At 40.2% G+C, this 18,888-nt stretch overlaps 1 pseudogene, besides 1 other annotated feature; it reads right to left on the bottom strand.

The window, feature by feature from the left end:
* Positions 9,082 to 9,913: an enhancer, noted in NCBI's record as "H3K27ac-H3K4me1 hESC enhancer chr12:68881905-68882736 (GRCh37/hg19 assembly coordinates)". NCBI's record gives its function as "activates a minimal SCP1, AML or CMV promoter by ChIP-STARR-seq in naive H9 embryonic stem cells {active_cell/tissue: H9 hESC(naive)}" and the evidence as "EXISTENCE:reporter gene assay evidence [ECO:0000049][PMID:30033119]".
* On the bottom strand, positions 10,146 to 10,460 carry LOC107984479 (small integral membrane protein 3-like; annotated as a pseudogene).
* Positions 10,461 to 18,888: the final 8,428 nt, after the last annotated feature.

Here is an 18,888-nt window from a genome sequence, read left to right as displayed (position 1 = left end):
CCAAGCAAAAGGAGAAAAGTTTCTATGATGGGACATTCTTGTGGTCACAGTTTTAACAAGATATACTGCTTGAAATTTGCCTGTGATGCTGGAATGCTCATTAATTCTCGGAGAAGCTGACTCATTCTTTGTGGCTGAACTCAAATGTCACCTCTTCTGTGAACTAGTCCTCAAAACCTCGAGCAAGATTAATTGCTCCCATGGAGGTTGGTACATGCCTTTGTTATGGCACCGTTATTACATAGTGTCTTAGCTAGTCATGTGTTTTTTTACCCAATAAACTATGAACTTCTTGGGGTCAGGAAGGGTTCTTGGCAAAGGAGGCACCTAGTAGACATTTGTGGAATTAGAGTACGTATCTATCATCAGTAGATACTACATTTAAAATATGGATAGATTTGCACACTTGTAAAAACCAAGAGAAAAGTGTTCAAGGAGCTGTTGCCATCCAGATGTAGGACAGAAAAACGAATTTTGGGACGTTGTAATCTTAAAATTCCTTTAACTGGAGAGATTCAAGAGAAGTCAACAATATTTTGAGGTGAATGACTGAGTTAGTAAATGAAAGTTTCTCTTTATCCGGTGGGTACTTGATTAATACCTACATTTAAAGCTATCATTCAGGGGAGGGAAGGGGATGGGTCTGGTATTTGTCGAATTACTTCTGCCTACTAAGCTCTGTACTAGGAAGTTTCCATTACAGGATTTCACTTTAGGTGCAACCATCCTGCTGGTTGGGTTCTATCATCTTTTTTTGTCAAATGGAGAAACAGAAACTGCAAATTACTCAACTTGTATTTTCAGAGAGATTTAGTAATGTGAACAAAGTCATTCATCTAGTAAGTGGCTGGACCGGAATTCTAACGCAAGTCTGAAAAAAAGTCTTAGCATATACCTATACATATTAGGAAAAAAGGGAGAATTCAGCAGTTATTATGATAAATGAGGGGCAGCCCTCATCTTGTAGTTTACACTTACCCTCTTAAATACGTATCTAAGGAGAAGCGGGAGGTGGGATGGGGCTTGGATTAGGCAATATGTATGGTGGTTAAGCAAGTGGACTCAGAGTTAGACAACCTGGGTACAGAGCCTGGTTCTGTCTCCTTTTAGTTGTGTGACCTTGAGCAAATTATTTACCTTCCTCGAGCCTCAGGTTCTTTAACTGTAAAAATTGGTGGAGGGGAATACTCATCATTTCTATCTCACTGGATGTTGTTAGAATGAAATGAAAGAATGAACATAAACACTTAGCCAAGTGCTTGGCACACACTAATGCTCAAGACCTTATTATCATAATTATCCAATGCTCCATATTTACTACCCAAAGTCAACAGATAATTGCTTATCTTCCTACTTTCTTAATGTTTGGTAAATGCAGTGTTAAAGTGGAAGACAAGTCCACTCAATAGATCTGCAGCCAGAGTATTGGGTTTGGAATCATTCAATCGGAGTTTGGTTCCTGGTTCAGCTTCGTAATCTTGTCTAGACACGTTGCTCAGTTTCTCTGGACTCAATTTTCTTACCTGTAAAATAGTGATCAAAACTATACCTAGCTTACAGAATTCTTGCCAGGCAAGAATTGCTAAGACAAGGAGTACACGAAAGGGCATTTAAGCTAGTCTAAGAGAGTCAGGAGGATCTCCTGGAAGGGAATGAAGCCCAAGTGGACACCTAGAAAAGAAAAGAACTTGTCAACTATGATATACACTTATGTCAATAATACATTATTATTTAAATAACATAAGTATATATAACTGACATTTAAAGTTATTTTGGACTGTATTTCCCATTTTACTGATTTTTCTTCAGATAAAACCTTTGAATTTCATTAAGTTTTAAGAAGAGAAATGCCATGATTTATTTTTTTTTGGTAGATTGTAAGTATCTCCAAAATTTGGTCCATCATTTTCCTAAAGATGTTTCTAGTGAAACGCTAGTCTTCTGCAATATCTTCAATCATCAACTGTGTAAAGTGAGAACTAAAATAAATATAGACTGAAACTCTTTCTTGCTTTCATATTGAATGAGATAAGTGCATGAGCTGAGAGAGAGGGAGAGAGAGAAAAACACATGTTTACATCTTGGATGTGATCCTGAGTTATTCCCTGGATATAAATAAGACACTTTGAAAGGCACATTAACTTTTCCAGGTCACGAGGGTTTTCATTAGAATGCTGGACTATAAATAGTTCCCTAGTGAGGTAAAGGAAATGATGCCCTATTCCTTCTCACTCCCAGAGTTCTTAGCACACTGGAGAACAACATTCTTTTGCAAGTGTTTGGCTTACTATGTGCTGGTATTGTTTATAAGGTCAAATTTTGGATTAACCTTTTGAGATTTAAAATAAAATCAGACAAGGGAATCTTTGTGAACATTTTATTTCTTAGGGAAAATTATTTTACATGGAATTTACCTAGTGTACCACATAAAAATTCTTAACACAGAGTATCTCGCACAGTGTAAAAATATATTTCCCTTGAGTAGCTTAAATGTCATCATGTTTGGTACAAAATAGGAAATACTTCATTCTGCAAATTACCTTGCCAGAGCTTCTCTGCTATGATCTCATACATAACAGTGATATCTATATAGAAAAGGATAATTGAGGAATTACCTGGTGAATTCAAACAACAGCGTCAGTCACAAGTGATAATTCAGATAGTATTTTGTTTTGTTATCTTTTATTGTTAAATTTTTTTATTGTTATTATTTTTTAAGAAACAGAGTCTTACTCTGTCGCCCAGGCTGGAATGCAGTGGCCTAATCATAGGTCACTTGCAGCCTCGAATTCCTGGACTCAAATGATACTCCTACCTTAGCCTCCTGGGTAGCTGGGACTACAGGCATGTGCCACTATGCCTGGTTAATTTTCTTTTTCTTTCTTTTTTTTTTTTTCCCCCTTGTTAATTAAAAAAATTTTTTTTGTAGAGTTGAGTTCTGGCTGTGTTGCCTAGGCTGGTGGAAAACTGCTGCCCTCAAGTGATCCTTCTGCCTTGGCCTCCCAAAGTGTTGGAATTACAGTGAGCCACTGTGCTTGGCCTGTTTTGTTACCTTTTTAGAGCAAGATTATCTGTCTAAAGAATTAAAAAATTACCTATACTTATTTCAATGTATTTTGTCTGAAGTATTTCTGGGAGATGCATTGAACAGGCCACATTGGGATGAAGTGTGTTTGTTAGAATAGTAAGATCTGGCACATGGCTGGTCATGTCAGGTTTTTGCTGGATTATAACTGCTTGAGGACACAAACTGTATCTTATTTATCTTTGAATCCCTCTGGTGTCTTGAATGTAGTAGGCATTCTCTAAATAGTTATCAAGTTGATTGAAATTCATTTTGTTACGAAAATAATTTCTGGGCCTCCTAGGAATCAGACAGTGTTTGAAAAATATATCCCTCAATGCTCATTATTACATTTGGTTTAGTTTCTCGTGGGGACCCATATATGTTATTGAAACATAAAATATATCTGTAATAGGAAAATATGGATGTGACAAGAAAAGTAGCAGCAAAAATTGGGCAGCAACCTTTGGTAAATATGAGTAAAATCGATGCAGACCTGCTGACCTAACAGAATTCTTACAGATTTAGAGTTTTTGGAAACTGTTTCCACGGTTCTTGTACATTATACAGTTTGTCTTACTTTTCTCTTTTGACAGTTTTATTATTAAGTAAGCCAGAAAATGAGATGAGGAGATGCTTATCTCTCTCTCTCTCTCTCTCTCTCTGTGTGTGTGTGTGTGTGTGTGTGTGTGTGTGTGTGTGTGTGTGTAAACAAGAAGCCAATACAATTTCATCTCAATAAGATGAGCCCTGCTTAGGAGGATAATGACCATTAATTGAGAGACTAATATGTACCAGGCAGTCTTTAAATACATTAACATAGTTAATGCATACAACAACCCTATGAGGTACCTGTTATTTCCATTTTTAAAGTTTATAAGCTGATGTTCAGAGATGTTTAATAATTTTCTCAAGCTCACATAGTTAGTGGCTGAGCTGGGATTCACACCCAAAACTCTTTGACTAGTGAATCAGTTTTCTTCCCCTGTATTGTGCTTGACACAGAGGAGGCACCCACGCACGCTTATTCTTAGCAGTGTCAAAACATCTTTTTTTTGGGGGCACCATTTGTCTGTAATTATTACCTGTAGAATCTTTCTTTGAGCCTTAAAGCCAGATTAAGGCTTTGCTTATGTACAGCAGTAAAATAGTCCAATCTTAGCTTCCAGTACTGGCGATATTTTCTGGAAAGTCGGTAACTGGACAAAAGTGAGTCACTTTGAATAAAAGAAAAAAAGTGAAATAGGGTGTTTAAATAAATAAATAATAAAAAGTGAAATAACATTTTCATGTGTTTGCTTCTACTCAGAATTCAAATTGCTCAATTCGTTGCATTAGGAAAAGACAAAGGATTAAACACCCTCATATAGTTTTTGAGACAAAGTCTGGCTGTGTCGCTCAGGCTGGAGTGCAGTGGTGCAATCACAGCTCACTGCAACCTCTGTCTCCCAGGTCAAGCCATCCTCCCACCTCAGCCTTCTGACAACTGGGACTGCAAGTGTGCACCACCATGCCCATGTCTGGCGAATTTTTGTATTTTTAGTAGAGATGGGGTTTTGCTATGTTGCCCAGGCTGGCCTCAAATTCCTGACCTCAAGTGATCCGCCCTCTTTGGCCTCCCAAAGTGCTGGGATCACAGGTGTGAGCCACCGCACCTGGCCTCACTTTTTAAACTATTGAATTAGTATCCTAGAGTTTTTACTTTCAGGCAGTAATAAAGACACCCTATGGAAGAGCTGCAGGTGGAAGAGGTTGAGAAGGATTCTGTGTTTCATGAGTTGATATAGGGGTCAAGGTAGTATTTTGTCTGGGGAGGAGAATGGCGATATAAGAGAAGCATGAGCTAGTTTCTAGTCAATCTTCTTTCCTATGCACACAGGATAATTACAAAGTTAAAATTAAAAGACAATTTACCTATCTGACTTTTTTGTTTCAGTGATGTCACACTCAGAAGCAGTTAAAATAGCAGATAAGGAAACCCCTGGGTCTGTTGAGATCTAAACAACCTGTTTCTTTGTTGTACTATGTACCAGGTAAGGTGGTAAACAAAAGAAGCACAGTTCCAAACCTCATGGAGCTTATATAGTCAAGGCATGGAAAGGCAATATTTTCATATAATAGTATGTAAGAACTTTCAAAGAGACATTGCAGTCAAAAAAGATTCAACTCCAAGGGTGAAAACTTGCCTCCAAAAGGCTCCTGGAGCCAGGCTACGGCTGGAAGTGTTCAGAGGGACTGTGGGAAGACAAGATAATTGAAGGAAAAATAAGGGCTCCAACTAGTTTAAGGTATTGACATCAGCAGGAGATTGCACCGCACCTAACTGGGGTTACTGGTGTTATTAAGCAATACAGACTGCCTGGGCATTAAAAACTGACTGGAGTGGGTACCATAGTGGTTTAATGCAAACTACCTTCATTGGTAACTTGAGGTAGGTATATCTGAACTCTAGCAGCTGATCACATCCACTTTCTGTGAAAAGGCTTTCATAATACTTTTTAAAAAATTATTTATTTATTTAGGTACCAGTAACAGCACATAAAATTAATCATTTTAAAGTGAATATTTTGGTGGCATTGAGTGCATTCACAATGCTGTGCAACCGTCACCTCCAGTTCCATGACATATTCATCACTCCAGAAGGGAACCCTATAGGTGTTAAGTAGTTGTTTCCCATCCCCCTTTCCGCCTGTGCCTCATATCTACAAATCTGTGTTCTGCCTCTGTGGATTTACTTTTGCTGCATACTTAATATAAATGGCATCATACAATAGGTAACCTTTTGTGTCTCACTTTTTTCACTTAGCATAATGCTTCTGAGGTTCGTCCATGTTGTAGCATGTATCAGTACTTCATTCCCTTTTATGGATGAATAATATTCCATTATATGTATACACCACCTCTTGTTTATTCATCCACTGGCAGACATTTGAACTGTATCTCCCTTTTAGTTATTGTGAACAGTGCTGCTGTGTACATGGGTATACAATACATGTACTTGTTTGAACACCTGTTTTTTAATTCTTTTGGCACTATACCTAGGAGGGAAATTGCTAAGTCATATGGTAATTCTACGTTTAATGTTTTGAGGAACACCAAACTACTTTCTCCAGTGGCCAAATGACTTTACCTTCCAACAGTATATTAGAGTTTCAATTTCTCCATATCCTCCCCAACACTTGTTTTTTGCATTTTTTGATAGCCATCCTCGTGGGTGCGAAGTGGCACTTCATTGTGGTTTCGATTTACATTTCCCAAGTGACTAATGGTGAGCATCTTCCCATGCTTGTTGGCCATTTGTGCATCTTCTTTGGAAACATATCTATTCAAGTCCTTGGGCCATTTAAAAAATCATGTTGTTTGTGGTTTTTTTTGTTGCTGAGTTGTCATAATAATTTGTGAGCCATGTAGTTTAACTATGTTATGTTCAAATCCAACACCCAGAGCTGTCTTAGCGATGGGCTTGTTGGGAGGTGTGGGCAGGGAGAAGGAACATAGGAGAGGTGGAATTTCGTGTGTGGGTGAAAGGGGGTAACGTCAAGATTCACCTTCCCTCATAACTCAGAAGAGGAAGTGCTAACTCTGGCATGGCACTTTGATGGATTTGCCTTCCTAGAATCTGTGATCTCAACTTCATTCTCACCGTCAATGTCTGGCTTAGTAGTAAAGATCTACCATTTTTGAGTGCACTGCACACAAATTATCCTACTTAAGCTTCATAGTCATGCTGGTTGGTGCTATTATTTTAATTTTGCAGATTACAAAAATTGAAGCTTGGGGAGATTATGTAACTGGTCCAAAATCACAACTAGGGCAGGGTGCGGTGGCTCATGTCTGTAATCCTAGCACTTTGGGAGGTTGAGGCTGGCAGATCACTTGAGGTCAGAAGTTCAAGACCAGCCTGGCCAACTTGGTGAAACCCCGTCTCTACTAAAATACAAAAAATTAGCTGGGCGTGGTTGTGCATGCCTGTAGTCCCAGCTACTCGGGAGGCTGAGGCAGGAGAATCACTTGAACCCGGGAGGTGGAGGTTGCAGTGAGCTGAGATCAGACCACTGCACTCCAGCCTGGGGGACAGAGCAAGACTCTGTCTCAAAAAAAAAAAAAAAAAAAAAATCACAACAAGATGGAGGTTGAATGAGTAGAATTCCTTTCTCCCAGATCCATGCCCTTTCTCTGTTGCTCCATGGATGGCTCGCCACTTGTTTGTCTCATTACTGCAGCCTCCTAACCTTTCTCCCTTTCTTCAGTACCACCTTCTTCAGTCAGTCCTCTGCACTGCTGACATTGGCATTCTTTCTTAAACATAAATCTTATCATGCTACATCTCTGCTTGAAGTCTCTTAATGACTTGTCATCCTTCAAGATCCACTGTTTTCTCTTTCAAGTTACCATCTTTTGCTTCCCTCATTTGTGCCCTACTTTACAGTCCTGTCAAACTACTCCCAGTTTCTTGAATCTGTCAAGCTGCTTCATAACCTCATGCTCAAACATAGAGTTCCCTCTGCCTGGAATGTATTAAAGGTCCCTCCTCACCCACAGTACATTATGAATCTTTCCCCCATGCCATAAAATGCACAAATATTGGCAAATGAGGTAGTCAGGGGAAAAGAAAGAGAGGAAGCTGTCGTTATTTACTTACTTTACCTTGACTACCTGGAATATCCAAGAGAATTACCTGAAAAACAAGAAGGTAGTCAGATATAAGATTTTAAAAAATCAGTAGGTCTCCTAATCACCAGCAGTAACCAATTAGAAAATGTAATGGAAAAAAAGATCTTATTCATAATAGCATCAAAATGATAAAATATCAGAAATAGTAAAAATATGTAAATCCATGTATTTAAAAAACATTCTAAAATACTATTGAAAGATAGAAAAAAGAACACCCGAGTCCATGCAAATATACTCCATGTTTCTGCACAGAAAGTTTAATGTGGTAGCTATGAGCCTAAAGCTTGAGTTTGATTGCCATTTCTACTCATTCCTTCCTTGATCATCTCAGGAAAATGGCTTCACTCCTCTAAGGTCTAGCTTCCTTGTTTGTAAAATGAGAGTAATATTATTAGTTAACTAGTGTGTCAAGTATAAGAATTAAAGAAAATGATCTTTTCAGAACACTCAGCCCAGTGCCAGGCACATAGTAAATACTTAATCAGTTATCTATTATAGTAAAGATGCCAATTATCTTTAAGATGATCTGTGCACTTAATGCAATCCCAATTGAGGATTCGTTTTTGTGGGTGATTATAATTTTATTGGGAGATTATCTTTAGAGGTTATTGGTTTTTCATTTCATTTTTTTTGGAGTAATGTGTTCTCTGAGTTGCAAATGTCTCACAACAAAGGTGTTTTGGTTTGGTTTTGCCTGGTGTTTTGCTGGTCCCATCTCTCTCTCTCTCTTTCTGTCCTGTCCTTTTATCCCTCCTTTATTTAGTACCCTTTAGTTATACTACAGCATACTGTAGAAAAGTCTACAGTAAGTGTACTGCTATCCTAGTCAAGAAATAGCACATTACCTGCACCCTAGGAATTCCCCCTTGTGACCCTTCCTAATAACTAACCCCTCCCTTCTCCTCAAAGTTAATTCTTTTTTAGCACATTCTAACACTTTATTGGAAATTGGTTGCATACATTGATGAAATCAGATCAAAGTAAAAGCATCATTTTCACACAATAATATCCTGATATCTGTGTTATGCTATCTTATATAATTTAATAAATCCCAAGATGTTCCTGATTTTGGTATCAAAGAGCTTGAGTGTCCACAAATAGCTCTATACAAATAATAATCATAGCATCTAAAATAGCCATCATTGTTTTGCATTGGTTCCAAAAGTCCTGGGAATATCTCTTAAAATATAAGTACCTTAGATTGGCTGCAGTGCTGGTGGGAGGGAGTGAAGGGGGTACACATGGAGCTAATTATAGCAGGAGCTGGGCAGAGGGAACAGGCTTCTTTAGGGTGAGGAACATAAGGGAATGGGGGCTGGAGATTCTGAAAGCTGGGCAGGGAACTCAGTCACCCTGCATTTTCCAACACTGCTTGGGTGTCAAAGCTAATAGAGACAGAGACTCCAGTGTGAAAAGATGCCCATCACCCCAACTCCCTTGGCATTGCCCAAAGACGGTAGAGCCCACTTCCAGATTATATAGGTGCAGAGAGTCCACAGAGAAGGTTCTGGAAAGTTCTGCCAACCCCCCCACCCAACCCCTTTCCCCCTCCTACCCCTCTCCCACCAGCTATCGCCAGCTATACACAGTTCCCTCCCAACTGAGAAAACATGAGGGAGTAGCACTTTACAGAAAATAACTTTGGGCAGGCGCGGTGCCTCATGCCTGTAATCCCAGCACTTTGGGAGGCCGAGGCGGGCGGATCACGAGGTCAGGAGATCCAGACCATCCTGGCCAACACGGTGAAACCCTGACTCTACTAAAAATACAAAAATTAGACGAGGATGGTGGTGTGCGCCTGTAGTCCCAGCTGCTTGGGAGGCTGAGGCAGGAGAATTGCTTGAACCTGGGAGGCGGAGGTTGCGGTGAGCCGAGATTGCGCCACTGCACTCCAGCCTGGGCGACAGAGCAGGACTCCGTCTCAAAAAAAAAAAAAAAAAAAAAGAATAACTTTGAGCCAATGTGCTGCTGCTGGCCCCTTGGAATCATGTCAGGGTGCCCTTTGCTTGGTTTGACCTGACAGGCACTGGGAAAGTCTGCTGTGCCCCCAGTGTCCCCCTCACCACCTTTAAGGCATCAGCAGCAATTAGATTCCCTGGTTCTTCAAAGCTTCTCAGCACCCAGCATAACACCTGTATATCTGTGGCGGCTTTACTGCTCACAAACAGCTTTCACTTCCACTAAGTCATGTGGCTCTCACAATCCTATGAGGTAGGGAGGGCAGGGATCATCTGCATTTGAAAGACACGGAACCTGGAACTCATAGAGTTAGGTCCCTCGACCAAATTCACACAGCTGGCCCGCGGCAGAATCAAAACCAGAACTCAAGTCCACACTCCACCGTCCTTCCCACTGCTTTTCTGAGCACAGGGAAGAGGCTGGCGGAGGGGACTCCTGTTCTCATCCCTCACCTGGCCCTCTTGGGAGGCTCGCGGACAGCCCCACTGAGGACCCGATGGGTCTGCGTGCGGTAGATGATGACTGCAGTGCCTGGGCACAGCAACAAGGAGGACATGATGACAATGATGGCCCGGATGCTGAGGACAGTGACCAGACATCCAGGGTGTGCTTGAGAAGCACGACTTCCACAGGGCCTTGGCTGGCTGCATCCATGTTGCTTCACCCCCAGATTGCAGATCGCGAAGGGTCTGCGGAAAGTTCTGAGGCAAGGATGGCTCTGCGCTTCTCAGGGTTCCCAGGACCCCGCGGGATTCGGCAGCCGGACGCCACCCGCCCAGGTCTGGAATCTCAGCCCCAGCCAGCATGCAGAACGTGTTTCGGCTCCTCTAAGCCCCCTTAATTGGTTTTTAACAACTTTACCTTCTTTTGGACTTTATATAAATCATATATAAATGCAGTGTGTATTTTTTTGTTTGTTTCTGGCGTCTTTTCCTCAACATATGTTTGTGAGATTAAATCATGTTATGTATGTAGCTGCGCTTTTGTTATTTTTATTACTGTATCTATCCTTTCTATTACTGTTGTAAATTTGGGTTATTCTCAATTTTAGGGTATTACTAATAATCTTGCCACAGTTTTGTACATGTCTTTTGATGTATGTGTATATGTATTTCTATTGGATGGGTATCTGAGAATAGAACTGCTCATAGGATACATATGTTAAACTTTAATATAATAGATAACACCAAAGAGATTTCCCAAAGTAGCTGGACAAATTTACACTCCTTCTAGCAATGTATGAAAGTTCTGGTTGTTCCATATCCTTCACAACACTTGATATTGTCAATATTATTAATTTTAGCAATTCTGTTGGGTGTATGGTGTTATTCCATTGTGGTTTTACTTTGCATTTCCCTGTTGTCATTGAGCAGCCCTTTTTCAAATGCATTTTGGCCATTTGGGTATCCTGTCTTGTGAAAGGTCTGTTCAAGTCTTTTGTCCATTTTTAACAAACTGGGTTATCTGGTTTTTTCTTTAATTTATAGGAGTCATTTAGGTATTCTGGATATGAATTCTTTGTCTGATACAGGTATTAAAAATACATTCTCCCAGTTTGTGGTTTGCCTTTTTACCATCTTAATAGTATCTTTTTTCTTTTTTTTTCGAGGCAGAGTCTCACTCTGTTGCCCAGGCTGGAGTGCAGTGAGGTGATCTTGGCTAACTGCAGCCTCCACCTGCCAGGTTCAAGGAATTCTCCTCCCTCAGCCGGTGAGTAGCTGGAACTACAGGCACGCGCCACCTCACCCGGCTAATTTGTATTTTTAGTAGAGATGGGGTCTCACCATGTTGGCCAGGCTGGTCTTGAACTCCTGGACTCAAGCAATCTGCCTGCCTCAGCCTCCCAAGGAGCTGGGATTACAGGCGTGAGCCACCATGCCCAGCCTCTCAATGGTATCTTTTGATGCACAGAAATCCCAAATTTTAATAAAGTCAAATTTATCAAGTTTCACCATACCCGCAACTTTGTTTTTTTTAGAGATAGGGTCCAGTTCTGTCCCAGGCTAGAGTACGGTGGTGTGATCATAGCTCACTATAGCCTTGAACTCTTGGGATCCAGCGATCTTCCCATCTCAGCCTCCCCAGTAGCTGGGACTACAGGTGCATGCACTACCACACCCAGCTAATGTAGTATCATTTTGGTCATATATCCATGAATCTATTTCTGGACTCTCCCTTCTGTTCCATTAGACAATTTGCTATCCTTATGCCAATGCCCTCCTGTCTTAATGCTAAGTCTTGATATCTGATAGAATAAGTTTTCTCATCTTGTTCTTCAAGAGTGTTTTGGCTATTTCTGTTTTATTTCTCTTCTACATAATTTTAGAATTGGCTTGTTAATTTCCATATTTAAAAAAGCTGCTTGGATTTTGAATTGAAATTTCACTGGATATATAGATCAATTTAGGAAGACCTAACAGCTTTACAATTTTGAATCTTCCAGTCCTTGAACATGGTACATCCCTCTATTTATTTAGATCTTTATATCCTTTCACTAATGTTTCTCTGTGAAGGTTTTTATGATAATTTCTTAACTTAGGTTTCCTACATAGTTACATGTGGGGCAGGTTTGAAGTTTCAGTTTGATAAGATGATATATTTTCTTCTAAGAGTGGTCTCAGGTTATGGCAAACTTATTCATAGCTATCCTGGGCTGGTAGCCTGTATGTGTTTGATTCCTTTTTCTTTTCCTGTTTTTTTTTTTTTTTTTTTGGTTGTTGTTGTTGTTGTTTTTGAGACGGAGTTTCACTCTTGTTGCCCAGGCTGGAGTGCAATGGCACAATCTTGGCTCACGGCAACCTCTGCCTCCCAGTTCAAGCGAGTCTCCTGCCTCAGCCTCCTGAGGAGCTGGGATTACAGACACCTGCCACCAGGCCCAGCTAATTTTTTGTATTTTTAGTAGAGACAGAGTTTCACTATGTTGGCCAGGCTGGTCTCGAACTCCTGACCTCAGATGATCCACCCGCCTCGGCCTCCCAAAGTGCTGGGATTACAGGCATGAGCCACCGCATCTGGCCCTGATTCCTTTATCACTGATAGCCATTTTAAGCTCCCAGCTTCTTGCAGAAGCTGTTCATAGTGCTTACCTCTAAAATGAGACTGAAGCAAAGGGTAGGTGGAAAAGGGAGCCCTCCATAGAGTCTTTTATAGTTATTTGTATAGTTGGATTTGTTATTTGATGACAATTAATACAACTTAAATTACCTGTAAAATTTAATAGGCAACCATTTCCCCTCCCCCAGCTCCCAAACTTTGGCAACCTTCTCGGTCTTCTCCAACCTTCTCGGTCTTCTCCTTTCTTCACCGGCTCATCACCTGTGCTCCAGCACCTAGCTTTCTTTGATTTGTCTTTGTTCCTTGAGAGTGCCATTCTTCTTTTCACCTGAGGGCCTTTGCATTTCTTGTTCTTTGTTTTTTTTTTTTTTTTATTGATCATTCTTGGGTGTTTCTCGCAGAGGGGGATTTGGCAGGGTCACAGGACAATAGTGGAGGGAAGGTCAGCAGATAAACAAGTGAACAAAGGTCTCTGGTTTTCCTAGGCAGAGGACCCTGCGGCCTTCCGCAATGTTTGTGTCCCTGCGTACTTGAGATTAGGGAGTGGTGATGACTCTTAAGGAGCATGCTGCCTTCAAGCATCTGTTTAACAAAGCACATCTTGCACCGCCCTTAATCCATTCAACCCTGAGTGGATACAGCACATGTTTCAGAGAGCACAGGGTTGGGGGTAAGGTCACCGATCAACAGGATCCCAAGGCAGAAGAATTTTTCTTAGTACAGAACAAAATGAAAAGTCTCCCATGTCTACCTCTTTCTACACCGACACGGCAACCATCCGATTTCTCAATCTTTTCCCCACCTTTCCCCCCTTTCTATTCTACAAAACCGCCATTGTCACCAACAGCTCATTGACAATGGCATTTCTTGTTCTTTAGGTCTGTAATGTTCTTCACAATTTTGCCTAGTTAGCTTTAACTCATCCTTCCGTGGCTCTCCATTTCTACAGCACATCCTCAGAGCAGCCTTCCATGAATTTCAGACAGGGTCATATCCCCTGGTATGTGCTCTTCTAATATCTTATATTTCTCTCTTGCACCATTTACCACACTTTTAATTAAATAATTAATTTTGAAAGTAGTTGTATAATTCCAGATGTGAGCTTCATGTTTGGTCAGGCAGTATGACTGTCTCATTTGCTGATTAATTCCAGGACCTAGCAGAGTACCTCATACATCATAGGCCTTTGAGAAACACTTATTGAAGGAATCAACAAGTAAGGGGATAATATTTTTTAAAGTATACGTCATGCATTTATTACCAACAACCCCCTCAACTCCAAAATCGGGCACAAGGATTGAAAATAAAAAATTCATTGCACTGCTTAGTAAAGCATTACTAGTAACTTTCATTAAAAATGGACAAACTTTGTTAAAAATTTATGAAGCCTTCAGATGATTTGGTTACAGATATTTGTAATATGTGCATTTAAAACTATATGTTAACTGATATAATGGAATATGATTTGAGGAAATGACTCAGCAAATGATTCTACAGACATCCTTGTGAGCATTCATAATCTGAAACAAACAGCAAAATGAGGTCACCAAATGTACCAACAGGGGGAAAATACTTTCTAATGAAGGCCTAAAGATATCTGTGAAAACTATTCTCTGAAGCGAGTTGGGAGATCTCATTCAAAATTATTGCAAGAGGGTCAAATGTAAGAATCTTGGGAAATCACATTTCAGAGAATATATAAAAATCTAAATAGGCTTTCACATTTTCCAGATTTTGCTCAATCAAAATTCAGGACAGAAAGTCCTAATATGAAATCTTGGGTACCCCCATCTGCTCCTAATGAATAAGAAGTATGTTAAAGACCAAAATTATTGGCATAATAATCCATTACATATACATCACATGTAGTGTAATCTTTATTTTTCTTATGAAAAAATCATGTTTAAAAATGGCAAAAAAGTACACATAGGCTGTTTTATATAGCTGTAAAAATTTATATCTGAACAGATCTAACATGATTCTGCTATACTCAGAATTCATTTTATGAGAACATGCAAGTAAAGTACTTTTTCTAATGTATATAAAGATACCTAATTAACAAGGCACACTGTACTAATGACTAGGAAAAGTAGCTTTTTCTCCCCCACCACCCTAAGAATTCTTGTCATGATTTCCCTTTTGCAGTAAAATTTTGAGAAGCAATTGGCAATTTAGGAGGTAACAGGGTATCTTTTGGTAAAATCTTGAATTGTTGAGCTCTTGGGACTGATCTCTCTTTGGGAGTGTCTTTTCTTTGCATGGGGCTTCTAGAGATGTGTTCAGATTTGCTTATTAAGTGTTTAGTGTGTATTAGATCACACATGAATGTGTCCTGACAAGCTCAGCCTAGCCACAGTGAGCAGCTTTGTGGCTAGCAAAAGAGAAAGAGCAGTTGATTTGTACCCAGCTGCTGTCACCTTGGTGATGTACCAGATAGCAAGCAAGCAGATGTTGGTTTGTTGCCTTTGTCCTCTTTCCTCCTAAAACAGTACTGGCGTTCCCACTTGAACACAGCTGTGAGTTTCTTGTGTGTTGTTATTTGTTTTTTGGTGTGAATTGTCATCTTTGATTTTTTTTTAACCCCCACACTCCCCCAGACAAGTCAAAACCTCCAGGTGAATGAGTTTTTTGGGGAGAATCTTAAGTATAGTTTCTGATTCCCCTAAACCTCTTCATGGAACCTTAGGGATCTTAGGCTCCTGGATTGGGAAATTTGAATTATTTTTCTGTTTCTGTTTTGTGCAGTGCAGGCAATGTGGTTCTGTAGTCCCCTATACTTGGAGTGAGTTCTGAGGATACCATCTGTAAAACGTCTCTTCTAGAATCCCCACTGCCTGAAGTCTGTAAAGGCCCTCTGCCCACGAACAAAGGAGGGACTTAATAACCCACTAAGGATTTTGGTAGGAAAAGGTAATTATTTCCCAAGATGAGGGCTGCCTGGGAGACTCTTCTGCTATCCCCAGGAGTCCCTTCCTCTATGCTGATTTCTAGGCTCCTATCATCCAACATCTTCAACTTCAGATGCAAGCTGGTCTCTTACTGCCTCCCTGGAGTTTTGTTGTTGGACAATTTCCTGTCCATGGATCCTCATGAGATTATGCTGAAATTTCATTCCCAATGTCATCAGGAATGAAACTAACCAAAATTGAACTCTAGAGAATGTGCTTTAATATCTAAGAACGCAGCTAAGTAATTGCTGTGTTCATCAGAGGAGGAAATCATTCACTATAAAATGCTGTAGGACAGACAACTCATTTTTAAGCAAGTTCATAATGGGAATTGCCTAAACAGAATTAAACTTTTATGGATTTTTTTTAAAAGAACCTATTTATTCATCAGACTTAAGAGAAACATTTCATTTCACTTAACTAAAAGGGCAGAAATTTTTGATGTCTCGATTACACAGGAAATGTGTTATGCACATGTTCATTAGAGTTTAATGGATGACTTCAGTTGTAAAAAAAGTTCGGCCATGTTGAGACTCTTGCTCAATGATCCCTGGTAAAATCCCCTTCTTGCTACTCACTCTGTAATCAGATGTTACATCTATCGACCCAATTCTTTTGAATGGTTTCTAAAAAGGAGAGGCCATTAGTTCAAATGTGCCATTTTCGCCTGTCAAAAGGCAATTTGCAAATGAACATTACACTCTAGGAAGCAGAGCTCTTCCATTCTCAGAAAAAAGTGATGATAATTGGAATTTGCATATGTTTCTTTTTTGAGAGACAGACCACAGAGTTTGTTTATGACTATCTTTAGCACCAACGGGAAGCTCATGATGAAATGGAGGGGAAAAGAGTTAAAATGTTTTAAAACTCATGGGAAATATGTTCCAAATGATCCAGGGGCTTTTAAAAGTCCATTTTAAAAACATGAGAATGGTGTAGCGTGGGGTTGTTTTTTCGGTAGCAGGGAAGGGCATCACTTTGCCAACTGCACTTTCTGGCCCTGGGATCAGCTGCTCATTATTTGTCTGAAGAATAACTGGGTGGGACCAAGGCTGCAGTCTTTAGCAGTGGAAAAGGTGATTCTTTGTGAAAAACTTAACTAGTTGGTAGAAAGGTCAAACCAGGAATGCTGACTCCTTAGCAGCCTAACCCTAACCTCAACACTAACTTGGTTTTTAAACAAGGTAGGTTTTTTTTGTTTTGTTTTTGAGACAGAGTCCCCCTCTGTTGCCCATGCTGGAGTGCAGTGACACGAACTTGGCTCACTGCAACCTCCGCCTCCCAGGTTCAAGTGATTCTCCTGCCTTGGCAGGAGTAGCTGGGATTACAGGCACCTGCCACTGCATCCAGCTAATTTTTGTATTTTTAGTAGAGACGGGGTTTTGCCATGTTGGACAGGCCGGTCTTGAACTCCTGGCCTCAAGCAATCCACCCATCTCAGTCTCCCAAAGTGCTAGAATTACAGGCATGAGCCACCTCAACCAGCCTAAACAAGATAGTTTTTATATGAATAATCTTAGATGACAGGTAAGTGTTCACAAGCATGTTTTCAAACATTCATATCAGCCCTTAAGGGGTTTACCAAGCAGTCTTCACTCTCTTACTTCCTCTAAGTCTCACATCTACACTTTAAGTTATCCCCATCAGTCAGAATAGGCCAGGTTATGCTGCTGCAACAAAAAAGCCTACCACCATGTGGTGTTGGTTTAGGGATTGCTGGTGGATGAAAAGAAAACCATTACCTGAGGCAGGAAGAATGTTTTTTTTTTTTTCCCTGTGCCCTGGGGACAGACAATCTTTGAGATGGTGGCTGCTCTGTCTGCTGAGCTCCTAGAGTGAGATGAGCAGCACACTCCAGCTGAACTGTAATGCAAATAAACTTAATTTTATAGCCAGTAAGATTCAGCAGCATAACCTGACTTATTCTGACTACTACAATATTTAGTGTAATTTTACCGATAAACAGACAAATTCTCATAGAGGTTAAATAGCTATCCCAAGACTCTAGGCAAGGGCAGGGAAACCATGTACAGCTTCTCTCTAACACATCAGGCTGACTCTTCCTTTGTGTCTGGCAGAGCCATGAAAGATCCGTTTTTTCCATCAGCTACTGAATTCTCATTCTAATGAAGTCATTCTGATCCCATGTGCCTCTGGGAATGAACGTGGTCTTTTGCAGACAGAAACATAACTTTTATTTGTTTGTTTAGCATTGCAGGTAGGATGACCAACCATCCTGGTTTGCTGAGGGATTTCCCAGGCATGGGAGCATCAGTGGTAAAATAAGGAAAGTCCCAGGAAAATTAGGTTGAGTTGGTCATCCTTATTGCTGAAGTGATTTCTCCTAGTAACACTTAGGAATTATGCAGCCTGGATTCCCACTGCACCTTGTAATTATTTCCATTATAATATTTATCACATTGTGTTTTAAATGACTCAGACTGTTCAGTGTCTATCTGTACACAAAGCCCTGAACTCCTGAGACCAAGAACTATTTCTTTTCCATTTTGTATTTCTAATACCTTGTATGGTGCCTGCCACTTCAAAGGAACACAATAAATATTTATTGAATGGATGAATGAATGTTATTTCTCTGTCGTTTTTCATTTCAAAAACTGGTGTGATGTAATTAGCTTTCTCCTTTGAGGATTGATTCTACCTAGATAATAATTCAGCTATAAAGAAAGCTAGGAATCTTTCTTAGCTGCAGCTACAAGCTTGCATAAAGCTTTCAGTGTGACCCATTGTGTAAAATTATATAAACTCAGCACTGGATTTCAGCATAAACCAATTCCTTTTAGACTGACTGAATAATTGAATCTCCTTGTTTGGCATTTGTTTAAAGAGAGAAGGTCATGGGACAAATGGTGGATATTTGAGGCTATGGAAACATATGTTATAAATTTGGTTTAGCTGTTTCTGGTAACTGGCATTATTGTGACTGAAGACCCAGGATTCCCCAGTCTGCCCTCCACCCTCGGGAATGCATAACTAGATGCTTTTCAAAAACCAGAGGCAGAAAGAAAATCGCCATGGGCACGCCTCACTGATAGACTGCATTCATGCCCAGTTAAGGAAAGCAAGCAGAGGACTGAGAGACTTGCTCCAGAGAGTCAGACCCAGGGCTCATCCAGTTGAATCTTTTCATAACAGGCCTAAGAGGTGTGCTGAGAAAGCTTGGTGGTTCTT

Source organism: Homo sapiens, chromosome 12 (genome assembly GCF_000001405.40).
Source record: "Homo sapiens chromosome 12, GRCh38.p14 Primary Assembly".
Taxonomy (NCBI): domain Eukaryota; kingdom Metazoa; phylum Chordata; class Mammalia; order Primates; family Hominidae; genus Homo; species Homo sapiens.
Note: the sequence above shows the minus strand (reverse complement) of the source record. Positions and strands in the feature narration are given on the sequence as shown.